Source organism: Homo sapiens, chromosome 5, assembly GCF_000001405.40.
Source record: "Homo sapiens chromosome 5, GRCh38.p14 Primary Assembly".
Classification (NCBI taxonomy): domain Eukaryota; kingdom Metazoa; phylum Chordata; class Mammalia; order Primates; family Hominidae; genus Homo; species Homo sapiens.
This window is the reverse complement of record NC_000005.10, coordinates 5,360,809-5,385,416: the sequence shown is the minus strand read 5'-3', so window position 1 is coordinate 5,385,416 and position 24,608 is coordinate 5,360,809. Positions and strand designations below refer to the sequence as shown.

At 45.6% G+C, this 24,608-nt stretch overlaps 1 long non-coding RNA gene and 1 pseudogene across 2 annotated transcripts in view; both read left to right on the top strand.

The window, feature by feature from the left end:
* Window positions 1-24,608, top strand: part of LOC101929200 (uncharacterized) — a 163,580-nt gene that overhangs the window by 36,713 nt on the left and 102,259 nt on the right. The window lies entirely within an intron of this gene.
* On the top strand, window positions 8,573-9,785 carry ALG3P1 (ALG3 pseudogene 1; annotated as a pseudogene).

The window sequence follows — 24,608 nt, the reverse complement described above, 5'->3', positions numbered from 1 at the left end:
TCTGAGCTCTGAGGTCATAGACGAAGCCAAGCCCAGAGACAAGGGGCTGAAGCTCATTTTCTTGAACAGACCATATTAATATCATTAAGCTGCCTGGTTTTAATTTTCGACCACTTCCCAACTGTCTATTTAGGAGTGCTTAAAGCCAAACCCATTCATTCTTTCCACCATTTACTGGAGATCGGAGCCGTTTAATGACTGTCCTGTGAGGAGGAAGGGTTACAGATCAGGAACAACCAGAGAGTGATGAGAAAGGAGAATTAGAAGTTGGAAGAGAAAAGCAAGATAATAAAAGTGTAATTTAAAACATCATATTTGCACAATTACCATGGTGCGTTGCTTAACTGGGAATCTAAATTTATCTCATTGCTGAGAGTCCACTGTGAGAAATAAAATTTAAGAAAATCTGGGGGGCATCCCAGTTCTTCTCAACAACTATATCTAAGGGTTCAGTCCATGGGAAATAGAGCTCCGGGGCGATTTAAAGTGCCGCAGCCATCCTGCGCACCCCAGTAGGTCACCAGCCCTGTGCCAAGCTTTTGGGATCCGAGCTCAGTCGCTGGGCGGACCTTCTCCTGTAATCTTTGAGAGAGAGAAAGAGGCATGTGACTGGTCTGCTCCCATCACAGTGTATTCTTGTGTTAACAGGCTTTACATCTCAGAGCAAAGGGTGGTGGTGGCTGCTGAGGTCAGCTCTTCTGGATGTCTCCCTGCTTGCTTTCACCTACCACATGCCCACATAGATGCCCACATAGATGTCCCTTGGGGATCGCCAACATTTCTTCCCTGCATCCACCTTGGCAATCCTGAAATCTTGGACTCCTCAGCAAGCAGGTCTGCCACCCACTCCGACCTCACTGCAGGAGACATCTCTGTGTCTGGAGTGCCCAGTACTCCAGCTCAACCTGGAGACATCCTATTGGCTCTGTCCCTCTGCCTGCCTCCTTCTGGCCAGGCCAGTTCTACCCCCAGACCACCGGGGAGGGGCCCTCACCTGCCTTCCTGCTCTCCTTCCTGCCCCCCACCTGTCTTCCTGCTCTCCTTCCTGCCCCCCACCTGTGTCTAGTGTTCTCCCAACTGTGAGAAGAGTGGGTTTAAACCCTCAGGAACATCACATTGTGCCCCTCCTCAGGGCCCTCCAATGGCTTCCCAGTATGCTTAAAGTAGAATGCAAATGTTCTGATGCCTGTAGGGCCCTGCATTGTTTGGAGACCACCTCTTCCACTGCTGCCTTCAAGAGCAGACTCCCCTTTTCACTTACCAGGACTTTAGGGGCCTTTTCAGGTACTGGACTTCTGCTTGGAGCACACATCGTCCTCTCCAGATCTTCCCACACAAGGCGCAGGTCTCTGTTCACATGCGCTTCTGCGGGGAGGCCCTAGCTGCATGGAATGGGGGTCTAGTGAGACAGCAGTCCCACCAGGTTGGCACAGGGCGATTGGTCAAATGTGTGGAAAATGAATAAAGACAGAGATGAGTAACTTCCCTGATATTTCAGAAGTTTTCACCATTTAAGCCAAGAACTAAGATAGTTTTGAACTCCTAAGGTCAGTTTATTCTATTAACAGTGGGCCGGGTTCCCTATTCCAAGCAGTATAGGAGCTTTGGGAGCTGCACTGTCCCATATGAGGGCCATTAGCCACGTGCAGTGATTGAGATATACATTTAAATGAATTAACATGAAATATAATGAAAAAAGACTCAGTTCCTCAGTCACATCATCCACATTTCAAATGCTCCATAGTCGTGTGGGCGGTGGCTGCCAACTGGGAAGTGCAGATGTACAACGTTTTTGTCATTGCCATCAGTTCCATTGCACAGAGTTCCATTTGATGGAACACAGTTCCATCAAATGTTGCTAAAGGCATTGTTACCCTCTCTTAAGAACTTCAATCCACTGGGAAAGGAAAGGTGAGTCAACACCATCTAATTAGTCCCTAGTAGATGTATGAATGGGTGCTAAGGATGCCCAGAGGCCAAAGGGGCCTGCAGTTGCTGACTTCTGAGCCAAGTCTTCAAGGAGGACCAGGAGTTATCCGGTAATGAAGACTGTAGGAGATTAGAAGCTGACCCTATTAAGTATCTTGAAAGTAAATACAAATGTAAAAAGCATTCAGCACAAGATGGAAAGGTCTGAGTGTGTTTTTGTGTTTGCTTGCCCATTCTTCTCCCCTCTCTTCCCTACAGCTTTTGTTTAAAATAAAAGAGCATCCCACTTTTCTTCCTTGTTGAGATTGACATATATAGGAGTTTATAACAGAAAAGTGGGGGGGGAGTACTGGGTTAAGTCACATGGCATAGCAGCAGCTTAACTTGCATTTGGGAGATAGAGATGGAGTAAGATTGTGTGAGCTGCTGGACTTAGCCCATGTGGCTAATATACAAAGAACAGAAATTTATTTTGTCATTGCTCTAGGGTCTGGGAAGTCTAAGATCAATGTTTGGTTTCTGATGAGGGCCCAGTCTCTGCTTCCAAGATGGGCTTTGTTGCTGCATCCTCAGGAGGGGAAAAACGCTCTGTCCTCACTTGGTAGAAGGGACAGAAAGGCAAAAAGGGCCTTAAGCTCATTCTCTTCAGCCCTTTCATAAGGCACTAATCCATTCATGAGGGTGGATCCCTCTTAATTACCTCCTAAAAGGCTCCACCTCCTACTTCCACCACAATGGAGATTAAGTTTCAGTATGAATTTTGAAGGGGACGCTATATTTTCATACAAATAAAAACTCTCAAGAAGGGAGTCAGAGTCTTAGGTTTCTGGACATGAGACACTCCTGTGATAAGTAGTGGTTTCAGCTTTAGAACAGGGTTCCTCCACAAACTTGGGTGTTCCGTGTACTCACAGTGTTAATGGCCTAGCCTCCTCCCCTGGGGGAAGCTAACTTGGCATTCTCTCCGACTCACCTGATGTCAGTTATTTCCTTGCCAGGGTAAATGGTTATCAGCCCACCTGATACTCGAGAGTTTCAACTCTTCACACCCTCTACCTGCTTTCCCTTTGTGACTTTGCTTTCTGGTGTCTATGATTCCATTCCCTAGTGAGCAGGCAAGCAGGTGAAGTTTATGCAACCATTTCACACCCAGGTCTTTGTCCCTCTCCCTTCTCCCCCAACACCTGGTAGAACCCTTCCCAGTAGCAGGCACATACCATATGAATACATGATGTTTCAAGTCACAGATGAACAGATGCTTTCCTGGTTGGAGGCCCTGGTGCTCGACTGGGCTTTGGTATTGCCCTTGTTCTCCTAAGCCCCATTCCTGGGACTGTGGATAGTAGAGAAATAAGATAGAGGACTTCCAGATTCCTTGAGAGGCTCCAGAAGTAATACTATGGGTAGTTCTGCTTGGATCTCCCAGAATCTGTGTGAGGAGGGGGTGGCAGAGCAGAGAAAAGAGGTGGCATGCTGAATAGACCTCTTGGGGTCAGTTGATGGAAGGAGAAAGGGAATATGGCACCGATAAGAGACTCTGAAACTGCTCACCCAGAGCGCAAGTGGGAGGAACAATTACCTCCACAACTAACTCCCAGACGGGTCTGTGCTCATCATTAGAAAAATGCTGACAGTGGCAGCACATCTACACAGATAAGACGGCTTTTCCTTGCCCAGTCTGCGTGGGCCATTTTTCACAGCTTTTGGAGGCTGCAATTGCTGCCACCATATGTTGTGCTGGAGATGGTGCAGCCAGCTGAGCTTCATGTGGAATAACTGTTGGCAGCCACGCCAACTTTAAATTGATATTAATGTCAAGCTTGCTTTTTATAGTTTTCCTGAAGGTTTTAACAACAATAGACCAAGGCAAGTTTCATCGTACCTGAACCTGAATCAAGCTCACATTTTTCTGATGTGTATTTAATTCGGTTTTGGCACAGAGTCTGTGTTTTTCTTGGGTTTTACATCATTTATGAGGTTGCATGGATACACTCTAACAAAACATCATCCATAATCAAATGAGACTCACAGAAGAAAGAAGTGCATGCCAATTCCGACTAATCTTAGCCTTTATGGGAATAGCTATTTGCTATAAATGATTAGCCAAACATGTGTGTCAACACTTTCTTAGCAGCAGATAGAGATGTTGTTAACCGCCACATTTACCGTGATATTTCTAGCTCCGTAGAGGGGGAGATGCTCTACCACAAACAAATCTGTCAACTAAGTTCTTCTAAGTAAAATCTACTCTACTAATTAATTGTAATAACTAAAGGCATGGATGTTAGCATGGTGTGTGTGTGTGTGTGTGTGTGTGTGTGTGTCTAAAAATTTTGCCTTATTTCACACTAAACATTTTAATAAAATGACTCCAGTCACTCTCGTATCACACTATGGGGTCGTTTTAGGAAGAAAATGAATTTTTCCCCAATATACAGCGGCACATGGTCCTATCCCTCCTCTAATCCAGGGCATCACCCAGCATTTGCTGCGTTGAAAAGAGGTATATATATTCTTCAAGCATAGTTTATGTGATTAAGTATGGCAAAAGCTTAATAATTGAATCCATAGTAAAATATTTGTACAAGAGTCAACATCTGCACCTAATCATTCTATACGTATGTGATGGTTTTGAGCTTATTGTGGGGGACATATTTCTTTTGGTGATTACAAACACACAGCTGCCAGAGAAATCTGCTGTTTTAAAGCACACTTTTGCTGCTGTGAGGGGACGGGGTGGGGACTATGTGGGCTACGCCCTGGCAGGAATGTCTTCTCTTCTGGATGGAGTCTGGTGATTTGTTCATTTGGTTTTTTGTCTGCTGAGTGGATATTGAATGAAGATGAAATGAGATCTGCACACATTGGTGGCTAGACAATTTATTTTCTCAAATTTAGAAACAGTCATAAGATGTAATTCATGAAAAACCCGGACATTGTTTATAACCCGGGGCAAGGCCGACACTTCTTTTCTGTGTTTTCCTGCACTGGCGAACTCAATGCAAATGGGGCATTTCAATTACATCTGAATCAACTGAAAGCACCCATTGATGTTGGGATAAGTGACTGTCTCTGGCCGTCTCTGTTTTATCAGCTGCATCCTCTGTGGGCATGCGAGGCTTTCCAAAGCCCTCAGAGGAGGCCAACATGAAAACTTTGAGTCATCAGATCAACTAGAGACAAATACCTTGAGTTTAATAAAATGAAGTTTTAAATAAAATGAGTTTTTCTTCTAAAATATCTGTCCCTGTTGAATTTGGCTTCCTTTTTAAGACCCCAAACTTTGGTATGGGAGAGCAAGGGAGAGAAACAGAGGCGTGGAGATATTTCAGTTTTAGATTCTGGTGGTTCTTTGAATTAGTAATGGCAATTGAATAGAATCCAGTTTCAGATTTGATCTCATTCTGGACAAGCAGTTTTATCTTTTTGTTTCCTTAAGCCTGCCTTTTTACTTTGTAAAAGTTCACCTATGAGGCAAGTTATCAGGGCAGTTAGAGAAACAGCTCAAGTACATGTAGGTAAGAATCTGTGTATGTCTTGCAAAAACTCCTTCTGCACTTCTGGGTTGCTCAGGAGAAAGCAGAGGTTTGTGATAACTCCCACTACCTCTGCATCGCACCGACCTCAGCCTGGCACTCTGGATTTTCCCCACGTGTGTCCAGTGAAAAGCCTTGGATTGTCCTGGTTTTTGCAAATTTAACCAGGAAAACAATGTATTACCTTTACTGAGAGGACTATGTAAACCAAAAAGTATCGGAATCAGATCTGAATCAATTTAGAGGTTTATTTTTGCCAAGGTTGAGGATGTGTCCAGGAGAAAGAGACATAAGTCACAATAGGATTTGTGGTCAGGGCTTTTTCCAAAGAAGGTTTTGAGGACTTCTGTATTTAAAAGGCAAAGAGTGAGCAGCAAGGGAAGGAAGAAAAGAAGGGGAGGAAGGTAGACGATGAGTGGAGTGTTACATTCTAGTGAGGCTTTGATTAGCACTGGCTGAATCCACGTTTTACATGTGAAAAGAGGGAGTAGAGAAACAGTTAATTATGCATTTGTAAATCTGCACTTGTAAATCTGCATTCAGTAAATCTGTATTTTATACAGGATAAGGTAAACACAGAGTAGAGGAAGAAGTCAAATGTACATTTGTTTCAGGGTGGGCAGAGGGAGGGAGCATTCTAGTCTTGTTTTTGTCCCATGCCTGTGAAGATAAGCTACTACTTTACACTGTCAGGTGAGATTCCATAGAACTCTGCTTTAGGGTTATGGGTTATAAGGGGGATATGTATTCTGAAATATCTGGGGGCCCATACAAAATTTCCATGTGAGCAATTTGTGAGGGAGGCCACCTGGGGAGATATGTGGCCTTCTGTCATTGCAGCCATCTGTGTGGGAACAAAAAAGAAGGCAAGTTTTCTTCTTTTCTTTTCTTTTTCTTTTTTGCATGACTTAGTTCCCAAGCTTAACTGTCTCCTTGGCATAATGAGTTTGGGGTGCAAAGATTTTATTTTCCTTTCACACCTAAAATGGACAGAAGAGATTATTGGTTTTTATTTCACTTCAAAGTTGGCACATTTGGTGGCCAGGAGATACGGGGTTCTACAGTTGGGTGGGCCCTGACCTTCTGCCTGGGCCGTCCACAGCATCACAGGTATTCCTTAAGCCCTGCATTCCCAGCTTGAAATTCAAGTTCTAGCAGATGGTCAACTCAGTAAATATTCATGGAAACAGATTTATGTACCAGCACCAGATTTGCAAGGGGACAAAAATGTAGTGACAAAAAATGCTCAGATGCTCAAAGAAGTTTTATTGAAATGGAAGTAGTCCATGTTTTTCTCCATGTATTTCTCCTACATCTCCCATATCTGTTGGCCTTCTTCCCTCCTGTGCTTGTGGCTTTACTGGAGGATGGTCGGGACAGCTTCACAAGGGCAACAGCCTCCACAGACTGTGTGTTAGGAAAACAAGGATGACTGTTGAGCTCTGCCATGGCTCAAAGCACCTGGTGGCCCTAAGCACCCACTACACCTGGCCCCTTTCTCAGGTCCAGCACATCTCAAAAGACTGGCACCTCAAGAACCTGCATTCAGGGTACATTTAGGGTACACACTAAGTGTGGTAATAAAAAATTAAGCTGACTAAGTGCTGCTGCTCTACTCCCGCATCCCTTACTTTTGAAAATACTATTTATTGCAACAGATCAGTGGCCATTTGAAAACACACATTCTTCTTGTCCCAGGTGGGTTAATCGCAACTTGTAGACAGAATCCAAGATTGCTTGCTTTGGAAAGATTTGCTCTGGCCCTGTAATTTTTATACTCAAAGGGCAATTTTCATTAAGGCTGTATTTGTCCATTTCATACTGCTATGAATAAATACCCAAGACTGTGTAATTTATAAAGAAAAAGAGGTTTAATGGACTCGCAGTTCCACATGGCTGGGGAGGCATCACAATCACGGTGGAAGGCGAAGGAGAAGCAAAGGCACGTCTTACATGGCAACAGGCAAGAGAATGCTTTCAGGGGAACTTCCCTTTATAAAACCATCAGATCTCGTGAGACTTATTCATTATCATGAGAACAGCATGGGAAAAATCCACCCCCAGGATTCAGTTACCTCCCACCGAGTCCCTTCCACAACATGTGGGGATTACAGGAGCTATAATTCATGATGAGATTTGAGTGGGGACATAGCCAAAGCATATCAAAGACTTACTTTGTCATTACGGAAACTCAAAGTAAAAGCTGATTCACTTGAGTGTGAAATGAGAATTAACTTGCTTTTTAAGACTTTTTGTAAAGTAATTGAAACGCTAGGGCTTTACCAGAAGCCTGGGGTGGGACAACGATGAAAATGAATATAGCGCTCATTCAGGCAATTGAGATAATTTAAAATCGGTCCCAATAAGTTCATTTACTTTCCTGATCTGAGTATTGTCATTGTTTAGCAGGTCCTGAAGAAAAAATTCGCCTTAGTGACATTCCTGCTCTGGTGACCTTAAAATGTGTAATTGACCTAGAAGTTCGTGATGATGAGTCTCTTTTTGGAGCAGTCTTTTTGGGCTTTGGTTTTTACTCTGAGATTCGTCTGGTGACATTCTTAACCATTTGAGTCCCTTAGAAGGGTGCATAGATCAATTTGAACCTCTGAAACAGTTGCTTTTGAGTCAAATCTGTAATGCATCTGCTCATGTTCTCTTTCTTTCTTTCTTTTCTTTTTTTTTTTTTGAGATGGAGTCTTGCTCTCTCACCCAGGCTGGAGTGTAGTGGTGCAATCTCAGCTCACTGAGTGCAGTGACATGACCTCAGCTCACTACAACTTCCACCTCTCAGGTTCAAGCAATTCTCCTTCCTCAACCTCCCAAGTAGCTGGGATTACAGACACCCGCCACCACACCTGGCTAATTTCTGTATTTTTAGTAGAGATGGAGTTTCGCCATGTTACTCAGGTTGGTCTCGAACTCCTGACCTCAGGTGATCCACTTGCCTTGGCCTCCCAAAGCACTGGGATTATCACGCCTGGCCCTATCCATGTTTTCTCACACCTGGCTCACCTGGATGTGTGGCTGTCTTCCTCCTTTCCCTGCACATCCTGTGCCAGTTCCTCTACAGGTACCTGAACGACTCCTATTACAAAATCTGAAAATTAGTGAAAGACACAGAGATCGACCAGAAGGCCTACATGGCCCAGGTGGAAGGCGTCATCAGCGGTACCTATGACTAGACCCAGCTGTCTATGACAGTGGCCTGTGACAGTGGGCCACTTGTGTACCCAGCTGGTTTTGTGTCCATCTTTATGGGGCTGTTCTATGCCCCTGGCCGAGGCACTGACATTCACATGTCCAGAACATCTTTGCTGTGCTCTGCCTGGCCACCTTGCTGCTTGTCTTCTTGATCTACCTCCAGACCTACAAGGTACCTCCCTTTATCTTATTTTTCATGTGCCACGCCTCTTACTGTGTCCACTGCACCTTTGTGCTGTGGCTCTCCTATGACCCAGTGCCCTCGGTATCAGCCTCCTGCTGGTCCAGCGCTGGGGCTGGGGCTGCTGGTGTTCCAGCCTGGCAGCCTCTGTGAAGATGAAAGTGCTGCTGTTCGCCCCTGGGTTACTGTTTCTTCTCCTCACACAGTTTGGCTGCCGTGGGGCCTTCCCCAAGCTGGGCATCTGTGTTGGCCTTCAGGTGGTGCTGGGGCTGCCCTTCCTGCTGGAGAAGCCCACTGGCTACCTGTCTCGCTCCTTTGACCTTGGCCGCCAGTTTCTGTTCTGCTGGACAATGAACTGGTGCTTCCTCCCAGGGGCTCTCTGCCTGCACCGTGCCTTCCACCTGGCCCTGATGGCCACCCACCTCACCTTGCTCTTGCTGTTTACCCTCTACTGGTGGCCCAGGATGGGGGAATGTATCTTGTCACTGATGAAGGATCCCTCCAAAAGGAAGGTTCCACCCAAGCCCTTCATAGCCAACCAGATCGTTTCTACCCTCTTCACCTCTAACTTCATTGGCATCTGCTTTAGCCACCTCCCTCCACTACCAGTTCTGTGTCTGGTATTTCCACACACTGCCCTACCTCCTGTGGGCCAGGACTGCACACTGGCTCACACACCTGCTCAGGTTGCTGGTGGTGGGGCTCATGGAGCTCTCCTGGAACACATACCCCTCCACATCCTACTGCTCTGCTGCCCAGCATGTGTGCCATGCTGTCCTCTTGCTGCAGCTCTGGCTGGGCCTGCAGCCATTCCCCAAGAGCATCCAACACAGCAAGAAAGTTCCCTGAAATCCACCCCTTTCCCTCCAGTGCACTCTCAGGACCTGGGGGAGTGAGATAGACTCTGTGCCCTTCCAAATAAACCTTGCCAAGTCCAATACACACACACAGACACACACACACACACACACACACACACACACACACACATAGACTTCCTCTCTCTATATATAGAGGGATTCACACAGGATGTGCATGGAAAGGCAACAGACAGCCACACATCCAGTCAAAATCACTAGGACTTTTATGTATCTCGATCAACAATGCTATGGCTACAATATTGACACAAAGACACAGAAGGAAGCTGAATTCACAGGAGTACACAGGGATCTTGTATTGTCTTCTGGATTAATCCATTTGTATAAAGTATGCTAATTTTACAGGAGTTGGTTTCCAGCTTTTGGACCAAATTTTGAACATTCTAAACTGGTTAATTTGAGCCTTTCAGAAATTATAATTTGTTCTATATATTTTTAAAATATCCACTTTTGATTGAGTCACTTATATGTTTGTATTCTTAGAATGAGTGACAGCTAAGTAATTGAATTTACGTGCTCTATCATTCTAGTTTAAATATTCAGTTTCATTTTGATATAAATAAATACATGAAATATGAGTATTTGAAGTTTATTGTCTAAAAAATTTAGTTGCATCCTTTCCTTGGGATATTGTCTTTAATTTTTAAGCTCAAAAGGCCTGGAAAAACATGCTTTCAATAATTCCTTATTGATTTTTTAACTATCTAAAAATATGTAGAAAAAGTTTGGTTAAAATAAACCAAAGACTTGTTGAAATTTCTTCGCTTTAAGTTGTTGTTCACCTGTCAATCTATCCAAAAGAGATAGGATGGCAGGAGGGAAGGAGAAAAGGAAGAGAGAGAGTAAAATTAGACCATCAGCTAATTACACGATGAATGATTTAACTACAATTGGAATAATGTGCTGGAAATTAACGAGGTGAATGGAAGAAATATGTACAAGAATGCCTCCTCATTAAGTCTCAAGGAACCATGTGGGGGAAGATGTGAGCTTGACCACACTCAGCACCAGGGAAAGTCTGCTCAAAATGAGGACTCAACATCTCCCTAATCCTTTTTTTGAAAATAACCAAATATTTTAAAACGTACTGATTTTACCAACTTTTTTTATTGCCACTTTTCTGCAAATGGAGCATGACTCACTTCCTTTGGACGAGAGTGGTCCGTCCCCTTTTCTGCTGGTCTTTGCTTCTCCCATGGGCATTGCCTTCTTCTTAATTTGTTTGGTGCCCGTATCTTCTCCATTTCCTTTTTCCTTTTTCCTGAGCACAGGAATACTCACCACCTGCCCACATGGTCTCCCTCTGTAATCATAGGTATATTACTTTCTCTTTAATACAGCCATCCCCTTTCTCCTCTCACATCCACAGACACTCACAGACTTTCCCACTCCACTCAAATCTATCTCACATCCTCCAGCTAGAACTCCCCCGTCACAGCTGGAGGAGCCAGCTCATACTTGGGGAGATTAGGTCACCGTGGCTTGTCTATACAGCTGCATTGCTGGCAGGGCCCAGGAACCACTAATCCCATCCCTTATGGTGGAACCAATAGTTTAGTCTCAACTCCACTTTCCAGGCATGTTCATACTCCCAAAAACATGACACATTCATAATAGAGTCAAAACACAAGTCACCTAACCCTGCCTGTAACTCAGCACCCACTTCCAAATGTCTTTCTATAGGTCCTGTAATCCTGGTGGAGGCCCTAGCCTCATGGAGCTCCTCCCAGTGAGTGGTGGGAGTGGCTGCTGTTATGACCACCATGGCAGTGATGATGAGGTCTGCAAACATGGGTGGCTTTGTGTGGTGAGGCTGTTCCCGGATGATAAGCACAGTGACTGTCACTTTGGGGTAGAAAAGGCCGGCAGCCTCATGCTGTCCACTTGTTGTTATGGCAATAGATGAACATAATTTGGAATTTGATGGATGAAACAGGACCCACAGATGGATTCCAAACCAGAAGAATGTCAAAGGCTGCCAGAAGGGAGTTGGGAATTAGGTAATAGGGAGGGAAGGAGGCTGGTCCATGACTGGGTTCTCTGTCCATCTGTGGTCACCAACAGTCATGGGTTGGCTGAGCTCTACACAAAGCAAGGCCAAAACTGTCAAAATAATGAGCCTCCTTGAACACAGACCATGCAATCATGGGATGTTAGAGCAGCAAGGGACTTTCAAGCTAGCCCAAGTGTTACAGTGGGTAGTCTGGTGGAGATGAGCAAGGCAGGAGAGGCCCCTCCCTTCCCCCAGGAATGTCAGGCCACCATCTGGTGATGCTCAGGCAGTTGTTACAGTCTCTCTAAAATAATAATTGGTCACAGCCAGCACAGGGAAAACCAGTCTCCCAATAGATAGAAAACAGCTGAAGCTGGTGATCGGCAGCTTCCCGATAACATCTCAAGAGTTGGGCAAGTGGGCTCAAGCTTGCACATCAAGAGGCAAAATGGTGGTGTTTAACCGGTCTGTGACCTTCTAGGAACATTCAACTGGAAGGGAAGAACGCCTCAAAGTGAGCACGCGCACAACTCCAGTAAACACACTGCCCATGTGGCCCTCCCACGTGCTGGCAGGCCACTGTGCATGTGGACAGCCTCCCCCAAGGAAAGAATCATGGAGAAGGGACACAAGACCCCAAAAGCATGCCAACATATAAAACCCCAAGTCAAACGTCAAACAGTACCCTTGATCTCTCATGTCGCCTGCTTGGCTCTCTTCCAAGTGTACTTTACTTCCTTTATTCCTGCTCTAACGCTTTTTAATAAATTTCCACTCCTGCTCTAAAACTTGCCTCAGTCTCTGTCTTTCCTTCTGCCTTCTGCCTCCTCAGTCAAATTTCTTTTTTCTGAGGAAGCAAGAACTGAGGTTGCTGCAGACCCATGAGGATTCACCACTGCTGACATATGTCCAAGAGGCTGAGCCAGTTGCCCAAGGTTACAGAAAGTTAGGACCGATCTCCAAGTGCCTTTCTCTCCTGATGGCTTTTTCAATATTTACACAATAAACATAATGCCACAGTGCAGACAAATAAATGTGAGACAAGGAGGTGGTGTTGGTTGACATTCTCAATACTTCACTGCTATTACCCATGTAACTTTGTCAGGAACATCATATGGTTTTGTAGTTGTTGGAAACTTTACCATCCAGTATCACCTAGAAGAAAAAAAGTAACTCCCTTTTGACACCTAAGCATAGTGAGCAGGAGTCAGCAGCCATCATGTTTGTGATAGACAGGCACACGATTGTCTGCTCAGTGCTTCCTGGCCCTCCTCCACTCTTCCTTCCGTTTGGCCAGATCTGTCCTCTCTTATGAGCTTGCATCCGTGGCCCTCTTGATTAACCCAGGATTGGAAACCTCATCCAAGCCAGAAGATTCAGAGTTTCTTCCCTGTTTTTTGAACAGGAATTCCCTGGTGGTAGAAACTGAGCAGGGGTGTCATGCCATGTTCTGCCATTGAGGGACATGGCTCAGGGCTGCAGTGGCCCACTGGGAGAAGCAAAGATGAGGCTCTGGGAGACTTCCTGGCAGCATCTGCATCCTCGTTGTCAGCGGTCCCTGGGGCCAGATGCATTCCTCCCCTCCCAGGGGTTCATTGTTCAACTCTCCCTTGGCTTCTTTTGACCAATTAATGGATGTTTTTCTCATGCTCATTCAAGTCAGATTTTCTGTCTCTTGCTACCAAGGAGTCCTATTTGACCAGAAGACTTCCATTCAGAACCCCAGATACGTAGTAAAGAACACACTCTTTATAGCATTAAAGTAAACCAGATGGATGTCAGTTGCCTTGTTTTAGGCATAAAAAAGATAGAACCCAGAGAGAGGGTGGGGAAAATAGATGAGTTTTGTCAAAGAGAAACCATACATAGTGGTTAGGTAAAATGGTGAAAACATATTTATTCAGAAAAACTATTGCAATAGGGTAAAAGAGACCCCAGTACAGAACTGGCCTCAATTCTGAATACATGAAAAAGGGAGAATTTATAGCCAAGGGGCAGGGTGGGCATCAGTGGATGGAAAATTACTGAAGGGAAACATTGGAGGCCAGGGGAGAGACTAGCTGAAGGCAGACAGGGTGAGCTGACATCTCCCAGGGGATCGTGGGGAATGAGAAACCTGATTAGATATCTAGCATGACTAGATATGGAGAATGGTGGATTCGGGCTGAACTGACTTAAACAAATTCTTGCTAAAATTGGACAACACAGAGACAAACCCAGAAGTCCCAAAGTCAAGGTCTAGTTGAAAAAGATCTCAAAAGGGCCTGAGTAGAGTTTGGTCAAGGAGAGAATCTTTGTCAGTTTGAAACATCTTATTGCATTAGAAAGTAAGAAACTGCTTAAAATAAAAAATGACAGGAGCATGTCACACAAGGACACGGAGCCACAGGAAGGAGCTCCCACTAGCCAAGCCCAGGACAAGTGGCATTCCAAAAAAATAAGGATAACAGTGAATTATTGCAAATGAGTCAGTGAGTCAATGTCAATAATAAATAGGTCCATAAAATAGACAGGGGAGAAGGGGAAGCTCTTGCTTGCAGTCAAGTGCCAAGTTGGGCTGGTCCATGAGGAGGGTGTGCTGAGCTTCGAAAAGCCTCATTCCGTAGCCTTCATGGTAAAGAATGGTTCAGATGAGAACCATCATGAATGCGCAGCAACTGTGAATGCTTCGGCATCCGTGAATGCTTGGTCTATTCAGGGGGCAGGTGGATTTTGATGAAGAGCGGGAGAGTGTCATGCCTTAAAGTGCTCTGTGTGTGTGTGTGTGTGTGTGTGTGTGTGTGTGTGTGTGTGTGGTTTTTGTAATATACATACACATACATACCATACATATATTACAAAAACCACGCACACACACACACACATAATCAGAGACAGAGAATAAATGAAACAGCAGGTGGGCAAACAGGTAACAACGGTTGGTTCTGAGTAAAGGGAATACAGTTGTTCTTGTCTGTTTTTCTAACTTTTTCTTAAATGTTGATTAAAATTATTTCCAAAATAAAATGTTAACCATAATAAAAAGTGTGATGCAAGATATCCCCAAAGGACAAAATATAGGACTAGTAAGTCCGAAGTCCTGGCTGACGATTTGGGTCACTCAGACGCAGCCCTGGGGCCTGTGTGCTCTCAGTTTCTGGGATTTTGCCATTTATATTAATCAATGGAGCAGCAGGCTGGACCTGAGGCTGCACATTTTTCTGCCTTCCTCGTATTTGGTTACTTTCTCTATTCCAGGGTGTTCATTTCAATTAACCTCTAGGTAGCACAGGGTGAAAAACACCCGCTGTGTGCCAACAATAAGCCTCAGCTCTCATGCCACCTCCAAAAACTGTAAATAAACAAAAACACCAGGGATTTCATTTGATCTGGAAAAGGGTTAGTTAAGTATTCCAGGATGTTGGAAACAGAAGATATTTTAAATACCATGGGGGCTGTAAAGAGTGATTTAGGAGACGTAATACTGCTTAATATTAGCTGACATCAACTGGAAGGAAACCACAGCTAAGAACTAAAGCTGTAGTTCTTTAGTCGTAAGAAGTTCTTTAAAAATCCAATGTCTTAGGCCCAAAGACTTCCATGATCCTCATTTTTAAGTGAACAATAATATGATCAAAATATATTTGAAAATCCTTGAGCTCCTTGTGACTCTCTGGCCACTTCTTTTCCATCCATTATTTCACTTTGTCATTGCAGCATCTAGAGTTTACAGGGTCCGTGGAATTACCATACAGCAAGCTGAAGGGATAACTTCAGTGGCTCCCAAAGTGGGGTCCCTGGACTGGCAGTATCAGCATCACCCAGGGAAGTTGTTAGACATGCAAATTGTTGGACCCCACCTAGACCTGTCCAGTTGGAACTCTGAGTGTGTTTGAACAAGCCAGGCCAAGGGGCGGGGCCTCCTAGCAGGGTCTGGGGGAATGCAGGTTGGACCAGCCTTGCAGGGGCTTTTCCCTGCCCCTGTGAGGGGAGGGGCAGCACCCCATGACCTGAGCTTTACCCTGATCATCCCCGAATCCATGCTTGTGCTCCCTTCAGCCCTGCTAAAGTCTGGCCACCAAATCCTTCTCCCAGGAGAGCCCCTTCTTTTCTCTGTGAAGGTCGTTTTGCTGGTGCATTTTTGGGTCGGCCCCTTCCCTCCACCATAAGTGCAGGCTGTGGAGACCCTGGGGACCATGGTTCTGCTTTTTCTCCACTAGTGAGCATATTGCCTGTGATGCTTGGAACGGATGACCTGCCGACCAAGTAAGCTCATCTCCAAAAAAGTAAAACAACAAAACAAAGTTTTGCTATAAGGAAAGCACAACTTATCTAAATTGAGAAAGGACTCCTTCCCTGATTCTGTTCCAACATGTTACATAAGATTCCATTATTGTGCAGAAAAAGACTGGGTTCTTTCTGACTGTGTGGGTGGGGTATAGACAAGCTGTGAGTGGCTGCCCCCAGAAGGGACACAGAAACATATCCTGAGCTTGCATGGCTTTCTAGTGAAAGGAGCAGGGTAGAACATTGCTCCTCTAGTAAGTTCTTCCAGCCTGAGTAGGTGGACAGCATCTGCTATGATTTGAATTCCCACCAAAACTCATGTTGAAATGTCATTGCCATTATAACAGTGTTGAGAAGTAGGACCTGTAAGAGGTGATTAATAATAATGCCATTATTATGGGAGTGAGCTCCTGATGAAAGGGTAAGTTCTGCCCCATTTCTCTGTCTCTCTCCAGCTTGCTTGTGCCTTCTGCTTTCTGCCATCTGCCATGGGATGATCCCTGCCAGGGGCTGGTGCCATGCCCTTGGCCTTTCCAGCCTCTAGAATTAAAAACCAAACAATCTTCTTTCCTTTTATAAAGTACCCAGTGTGTGGTATTCTGTTATACCAGCAAGAAATGGACTAATACAGTATCCCTTTGGCGCAGGCATGGCTGATGTTATCTACATATTTCATTTTGCTCTGGACTGAGACTACTTGTAGCTCAAGCAGGAAATGTGATGACCTGGAATTAACAGTTAGCCAAGACGGAAATTTATCAGGCCCAAACTACTCAGGGTTCTTTGTGGCCCTCCCCACCGTGCCAACATCCCCCTCTCCCCTGGATGGGGGGCTCTCCATGCACAGCAATCCTGTCATCCTTTTTACCTCAATGTCTCCACCTGATGACCTGGTGCATAGTAGGTGTTCAATAAATATAAAGTGAATAAATGAATCTATGTAATCATAATAACATGTCATTATCACATTTCCATAGGAAAAGCAACATTTATGTGTAAAATGAGCTAAAACCCAAGCCATAAACATAAAATATCTCTGCAAGCTTTTCTCAGAACTCCTGGTCTTTCTGTAGATGCTCAGCTTCCTCCCCAAAGTTGAAGCCAAGAATGGGTGAGATAATGACAGTGAATCATGATAAAGTGGGACAGGCAATGCAATCTTCAGGGACTCGTGGGCCAGTGGCTCAGGAAGCTGCCACAATCCTCATCAAAACACATTCTTTATCTAACTTGGATGCAGAAATCATAAAAAGGCCTTGGAAGGTCTAAGTGGCAGGGACCAAAATCAAAGTCGGTAATTAGAAAGCTGTGAATTTATAGATCTCCACTCAAATTGGCAGGAAGTGCAATAGCAGCCACTCCTTAAACACATTTTATGTGTCCCTGAGTTGTTTATTATCTTCCATCCTAAATTTATGCTGTGCCTCTTTCTATGGCCTCTAAGCCAGGATGACAGAAGAACAAAAAGTATTCTGCAACAGGAGAATGGCGCAGGCCAAAGGCAATTCCAGAGAAGAGAGCAAGTTGGATGTAGGGTTGAATCCTGTTCTTGTGGAAAACCTATTGCCAAGAAGGAAAATAAACAGTTGGAGTTTTCCTTAGCAAGAAAAGTTGTTTAAAAGTGTTCTGAAGAAGCTCTGAAGAGGCTGCAGAGAATGTCCATGTTTTTCTACAGCAAGTCTCCAGCTCAGCTGCACTTCCAATGACTAAACGATAGAAAAAAATAGCATATACTCATGAAAAAAGAAACAGTGGGAGATGGGTCATGGGCCTGGGGGAGAGAACTCTTGAACCTAACCTGGTTCTGGGGTAGAAGCCAATAGTGTGTGTGTGTGTGTGTGCGCGCGTTTGTGTACATGCACATGTGTTAGAATATGTGTGCATGTATGTGTGTTTGTCCATGCAGATATGTATGAGTGAGCATGTGCACCATCCTTATAACCTTCAAGACCTAACAGAGTCTTACTGGTCACTTAAGAGTGAAAAGGGGGCCGAGTGCGGTGGCTCATGCCTGTAATCCCAGCACTTTGGGAGGCTGAGGTGGGCAGATCACGAGGTCAGGAGTTTGAGACCAGCCTGGCCAACACAGTGAAACCCTGTCTCTACTACTACACATACAAAAATTAGCCGGGCATGGTGGCAGGTGCCTGTAGTCTCAGCTACTCGGGAGGCTGAGACGGGAGAATCGCTTGAACCTGGGAGGTGGAGGTTGCAGTGAGCCAAGACCACGCCATTGCACTCCAGCCTGGGTGACAGAGTGAGACTCCGTCTAAAAAAAAAAAAAAGAGTGAAATGGGGAGAGAGAGAGAGTGGAAGAAGGAGGGAGAGAAAGGAGAGATGCACATCTGGCAGATTCACATCCAGGTGTCTGGAGTGGTAGTGATGCTGGAGGCGTCTGGACAGCAGGTGAGACAGCCTGGTGGGAAGGGCTCCCTGGCAGGACCACCTACCGGCCTGCACACTGGGAGGGCTGCGCACGGGGGTGGAGCCCTGGGAAGTTGGCACCCTTTGCAAGGGGGAGTAGCCTGGCCTCTCTCTCCTGTTCTGCTGTGTGGTAACCGGGGAGGCAATCTGTTAGATGGGGGCCTGTTAACAGTAACCGCTCTCGCTTTGCTGAGTTTTTTTCCTTTTCATCTAATAAATTCCATTTTTCTCACTCTTCGAAGTGTCTGCGAGCCTAATACTTCATGGCCATGTGACAAAGACCCCGTTTTCAGCTGAACTAAGGAGAAACTCCTACAACACAAGGAGGCACGGAGCCTAGGCCGGCTGCTCCCCAGGGCACGTGTGTGGGGCACCAGCTGTGCCTCCAGGCTTACTAATGCTCGTGTCTTCTGTGTGTGGTTCAGTTTGCTTTTGTAGAGAGCTGGCAGCTTAGTTTGACAGGTATCATGAGGGAGGTAAGGAAACACTTATTTGCACTTGTAGGGAAGGACATTGGAGGCAGCTGTGATACCAGTGAGACCCTGTGTTCTCAGGCCAGTCCTCCTGCCAGCCAGGAGTCCACTGTGGAGCACGACTTACTATGCGTGAGTCAGTTTCTCTGACAGTCCACATGGATATTAAGAAGCTATTATAGGCCAGGCGCAGTGGCTCACACCTGTAATCCCAGCACTTTGGGAGGCCAAGGGGGGGCAGCTCACCTGAAGTCAGGGATTTAAGACCAGCCTGGCCAATATGGTGAAACCCCGTCTCTACTACAAATACAAAAATTAGCCAGGTGTGGTGGTGGACACCTGTAATCCCAGCTACTAGGGAGGCTGAGGCGGGAGAATCTCTTGAACCCAGGAGGTGGAGATTACAGGGAGATAAGACTGTGCCACTGCACTCCAGTCTGGATGACGGAGTGAGACTTCATCTAAAAAAAAAAAGCTATTATATGCAATATTACGCACACATTTGATATTAAACATTGTGTCTTCACTCACAAAACCCTGTTACCAAGTGGAGGTTCTGAGCACACCTGGAATTAGCTATTTTCTTTCATGTCCTTTCTGATCTAAATATAAAGTCAACCACTATGCTTATTTCTAGATTCAATCACTGATTACAAAATAAAATCACAAATTATTATTTCATTTAGAGCAGGGTCATGAACTTCAATAAAATTGTGAAAGTACTATGTGCCAAGGAATTGCATAAAATTTTTGCTATGCAAATTTTACCATTAAAAAAGTTAAGTAAATAACATAAAAGAAAAATGCAGCAGTAGTCCTCAGTTTAACTTTCCCCTTCTAGGCTTTCTCATTGGTTACAAGACAAAGTCCCCGCTCTTTGGGGCAGTGGTGGGGGTATTTAGAATCTTCTCCACAGGCTCTAGCCTACTTCTCCAAGGCCTCTCCCCAGCAGGAAATTTCCCTTCACGCTAACTCTGGTCCACAGGACATTCTCGTGTATTTGCAGACCAATTTCCACCTTTGGAACTTTTCACAGAGCATTGCCTCTGCGTGGAATAGTCTCTTATTTATCCCAGGACCCCAGGCCCACAGGCCCCACAGTCCCCTGATCTATCCAATGCTTCTCAAACATTAGTCTTCCATGGCAGTGCTGGGCCCCTCTCCTGGAACCCTATTTCGGCAGTCTGGGGTAACCCTCCCCTACCATTCCTCCACTGGCCGCTCCTTGCTGCCTTTCTGTAGCGCCCCTGAGGTTTCATGAATGCCCTTCTTTGAATTCATGCAGAGAACGCTTGTCTAGTGGCTTTTACAATATGTGCTTTTTTTGTAGCCAAATTGTGCCCCTTGAGATCACCCACACAGCCCCAGCAGGTGGCCGGGCTGTCCCCTCACAGGCCTGCTTTCAGTTCCTGGGCTGCTCACCATAGAAAAGAAAGAGTCCACTGCAGCCAATTCAGGGGCGTCTCCAGCTCTAGGGGAGTCCAAGCCCTGAGCAGATGCTACAGGCCACCCCTGCCCCCAGCAGCCCCCGCTGTTCTGTGCTGTGGGCTGGGAGCTCTCGCAGGGCAGGGGTGGTTTCTAATTTCTCTCTGGTCCCCTGTGCCTAGATGATGAGGCCTGAAAGGGGGTGGGTGCTTACTAAATGTTTTTGACAGCATTATTTTCAAGTTTCTTCTTCCAAAACCACTAAGAATTGTTCTCCTCAAGTTACCTTCCAGATCTGGGGGCTCCTCAGAGCCTCTTCAGCGCTGGAGTTCAAGGCTCTGCAGCAACCGAAAGAGAGCCCCGGTTCTCGTTGCTGCCATTGTTTTTCTCTGTTCTTTTCTCACCTTATAGAGCATAGCAAGACACTGAACTGGAGGAACTCATGACGCAGTTAGACCTAACAGATTCTGACCCGGGCGGCCCAAATCCCAGGACGGCCAGTGACCTATTGTCCTGGCTCAAAAAATAGGGGCAAAGCCAGAACTTGGTTCTCATGGGGATCTGGGTCTCAACAAGGTTGAAATTTACTGGAGCCCTGAGCTCCTGCCTAACAGTGAAGGCCGAGCAATCCCCCCACCCTTTGTGTTCCGGAGATGGGCTCATTGTGAAGACCACTCTTCCCATATGAGGCCATGAGACTCCCAGATGCCCCCATTTTGTCCAGCACCAGCCAGACACAGACCTGCAAACCCCCATTCTCCACCTCAAAATGATACACTGCGTGTCTTGTCCTCATGAGTACACTGGAACAAAATGCCTGTGGACCAAGCTTGGCATCAGCATCCCCTTCCTTTAGGCCACTGAGGTTTGGCCACACCTTCAGCTGGAGTCTACAGGCTTCCCTTCCAGAAATAGCCTGGCCTCAGGGAGAAGTCTTCTCTCATCTGTGGTCCCATCAGCTACCATGTCATTCCCTTTTACCTTACCCAGTTCTTTCTAGCCTTTTCGTAACCCTTGAGAAGCTTGCAGACCTTTGGTCAGAGCCTTCTGCTGCAACAGCCTTCATCCCACCATGCAAGCGCCCTGTCCTCTTGCAATAATCCTTTCGAATAGTCTCTCCTTAGATGAAGAAGGCTGCCTTTGTTTTTATTTGAGGTGAGGCTACAGCAGTCTCAGTGGCCTTGGAGGAGCTCAGGAAACACTCATGTCCTAGCCTCAGGAAGCCTGTCACCTCTCAACATTCGGTCCACGGAGATGCCCAGGTGTGTCCCTGCAGTTGGGACCCTTGGACCTGAGGCCTGCTGACCCTCAAGGAAGCTCAGCTGCCATGGCCACAGGAAAGAGGCTCTGTCCCTAGAGTGGGGAAGTGGCTCATGGGTGAGCTCCAGAAGGGACATCCCAGGACAAGCCCTGCTTCACGGTAGTAGGTTGGAGAACCTAACTCACTGGAAAGGAGGGAAAGGAAGAGCTTGGATGTGTACCCAGGCAGTCTAGCAGCTCCAGGGTGCCGACGGCTCAGGCTGGGCAGCCATCAAGGGTGTCATGGGCCTCCAGCCTCAAATCCAGACCCTAGATCCAAAACCAGCAGTTTCCAGACAAGAGGCATCAATAAATGATCCCCTGGGGGAGGCTCCTCAGTAAAGCTCTAAAGCTGGCGGGTTTCCATAGACAAGAGAGGAGTTGCACACTTAGGTCAATTTGAGCTGAAAGGGACCCCAAAGAGCAATCACCCCAAACTGCTTCTTTTCCTCTTGTCGAAATAGAAGCCTCCCTCCTAGTGTCAAACAGAGGTGGGAAGCAGAACTGTGATGAAAATCCTGGTCTCAGCTCTCAAATAGAGTGCTCCCGCCACTCACCCCCCGCCACCTTAGCAAACAGGAAACCCCCCAGGACAAAATGTAATGAGAGTATAGGAGAGAACTGACCTCAGATGTGACTATCTGGGAGGTATGACTCAATAATGTCTTCCTCAGGCATAAAGGGTCAGGTTTTGTTTGCAGTTGGGGGTGGGGGGGTGGGAACTGACTCTAACTTTAGCCAAAAATGGGAACTATCTTAATGAGGCAGAAGAGTGGCATTGAGTTAGTTTTCTCCAATAACAAAACACCTATTAAATGTATGAACTTATTTTGCATATGAAACATGTGAACCCTGAAAATCAGAGACTGATTTCAGTTAACTTAAAAAGTTTATTTTGCCAAGGTCGCAGTTAAGTTAAAAAGTTTATTTTATGTGACACAGCCTCAGGGGGTCCTGACCACATGTGCCCAAGGTGGTAGGGGCACAGCTTGGTTTTATACATTTTAGGGGGACATGAGATGTCAACCAATAAGTGTAAATTGTACCTCAGAAAGCTGGGACAACTCCAGGCAAAGGCGGGACAACTCAAAAGCAGGGAGGGGGCTTTTGGGTCATAGGTAGATAAGAGAAAAATGGCTACATTGTTTTGGGCTTGGATGAGCCTCTCCAAATGAGGCAATCAGATCTGCATTTATCTCAATGAGCAGGTGGGTGACTTTGTATAGAACCGGAGGCAGGTTTGCCCTAAGCAATTCCCAGCTTGACTTTTGCATGTAGCTTGGTGATTTGGGGGCCCCAAGATTTATTTTCCTTTCATGAACATTTTAAAGAGCTAGAGAACTTTAATTTGTTATTGTACAGTATGCCTCCGGGCAAACAATTGGAAGAAACAAAGCAAGAAACAACTCCTGAGGCCATGTCTAAATTCATGTAAGGAGAGCTTCAATCCCTTTACTCAGTTTTTTGTTGTTGTTTTTGAGACAGGGTCTTGCTCTGTCACTCAGGCTGGAGTACACTAGTGTGATCATAGCTCATTGCAGCATCAACATCCTGGGCTCAAGAGATTCTCCTGCCTCAGCCTCCTGAGTAGCTGAGACAACAGGGGTGCACCACCATGCCCAGCTAACTGTTTTTATTTTGTCTAGAGACAGAGTTCTACTATACTGCCCAGGCTGGTCTCAAATTCCTGAGTTCAAGCAATTCTCCAGGGCCTCCCAAAGTGCTGATATTCCAGGTGTGAGCCATCACGCCTGTCCCCTTTACTCAGTTTTATTTGTAAAGTTCTTGGAAAAAAATCACTTGGTTTTCATGTATAGATTGAATGTAAAACTATACATCTTTTTCAGATAAAATCTAACTAGTCTCAATATTATGCTTATAAAAAGGGGTGCTATAAGGGAGTGATAGTTTATATCTTCTTTTTAATTTAAAGGAGATTTTAAGATTTTTTTTTTTTTACTGGTATAAACAATCATCACGTGAGACTATTATATAAGAACAATGGTTTTAAAACAGACCCAGCCTATGAAACACCAAAAAGAAGGCAATTTTCTTTGTATTCAGTTGGGCTGTGGTTATTTATCATTTTTTATAAGTGAAGTGAGCCACAAAGGTGCTCCCAGTCTCAGCGACTTTGTACTTGTTGAGCTCTTCTGACAAATCTTGTGCTTTGAGTTTGAATTCTTATACAGTAAAGGAATGCCCTCCTGGCAGTGGTCCCTTAACGCGCGAGTCCCCACGGTTGAATCTGTCTCTGATGGGTGGTGACAGCAGGAGAACTGAGCAGGCATAAAGATGCCATGTCCTGCCAACATCCTATGAAGCCCTGCCTCCATGTCACAGCCCTGGGATGCCAATGCCTTCTCTGTGCTGCTTTCCAGGTGAATGTCCCTCATATAGACGCTTATCCTAATCACTCTGGACAGACGAGGAAAAATGAAGATTTATGGGATTGCACCTTCTGTGCCCAGACGGCTCTATTTAACAAACTCGTCTGGTGTCCCTGGTGATGGCTTTTGTCTTCTGCACAGGCTGAAAGAGCTTTCACAATGAGAGAAACCAGAGGTCAACAGGGGTAAGGATGGCCCCAGCCACTGGTTTGTCACAAGTTCTCAGGCTTTGAGCCTCTGGCGTTCAGAGTTCACTGAGGCTAACACGTGATAACCAAGAGTTCACAGTTCTTCAGTTTAGACCAGAAAAAGCACTTTGCTTCTTTTTTTGTTATTCGCTTAGCTTTCTGAATCTGCTCAAATACCCCTCTGTTTAGGCAAAACTACAGGAAATGCTCATTTAAAGAGGTTGTGTTTTCAACTTCTAAACGTTGAGATTATGTTTTCCAAAGATGTCACACGGCGATTTGGGGCACAGGGTGTTGGTTGTCAGACAATTGGTTATCCTGTTAGTTATTTTCCATCAAATATGACAGCTGGTCCTAAGCCCATCCTTTACAAGTCCAGCATAGTCACACAGATTACTGGGGAGAGGCCTCTGTGTGCCCAGCAG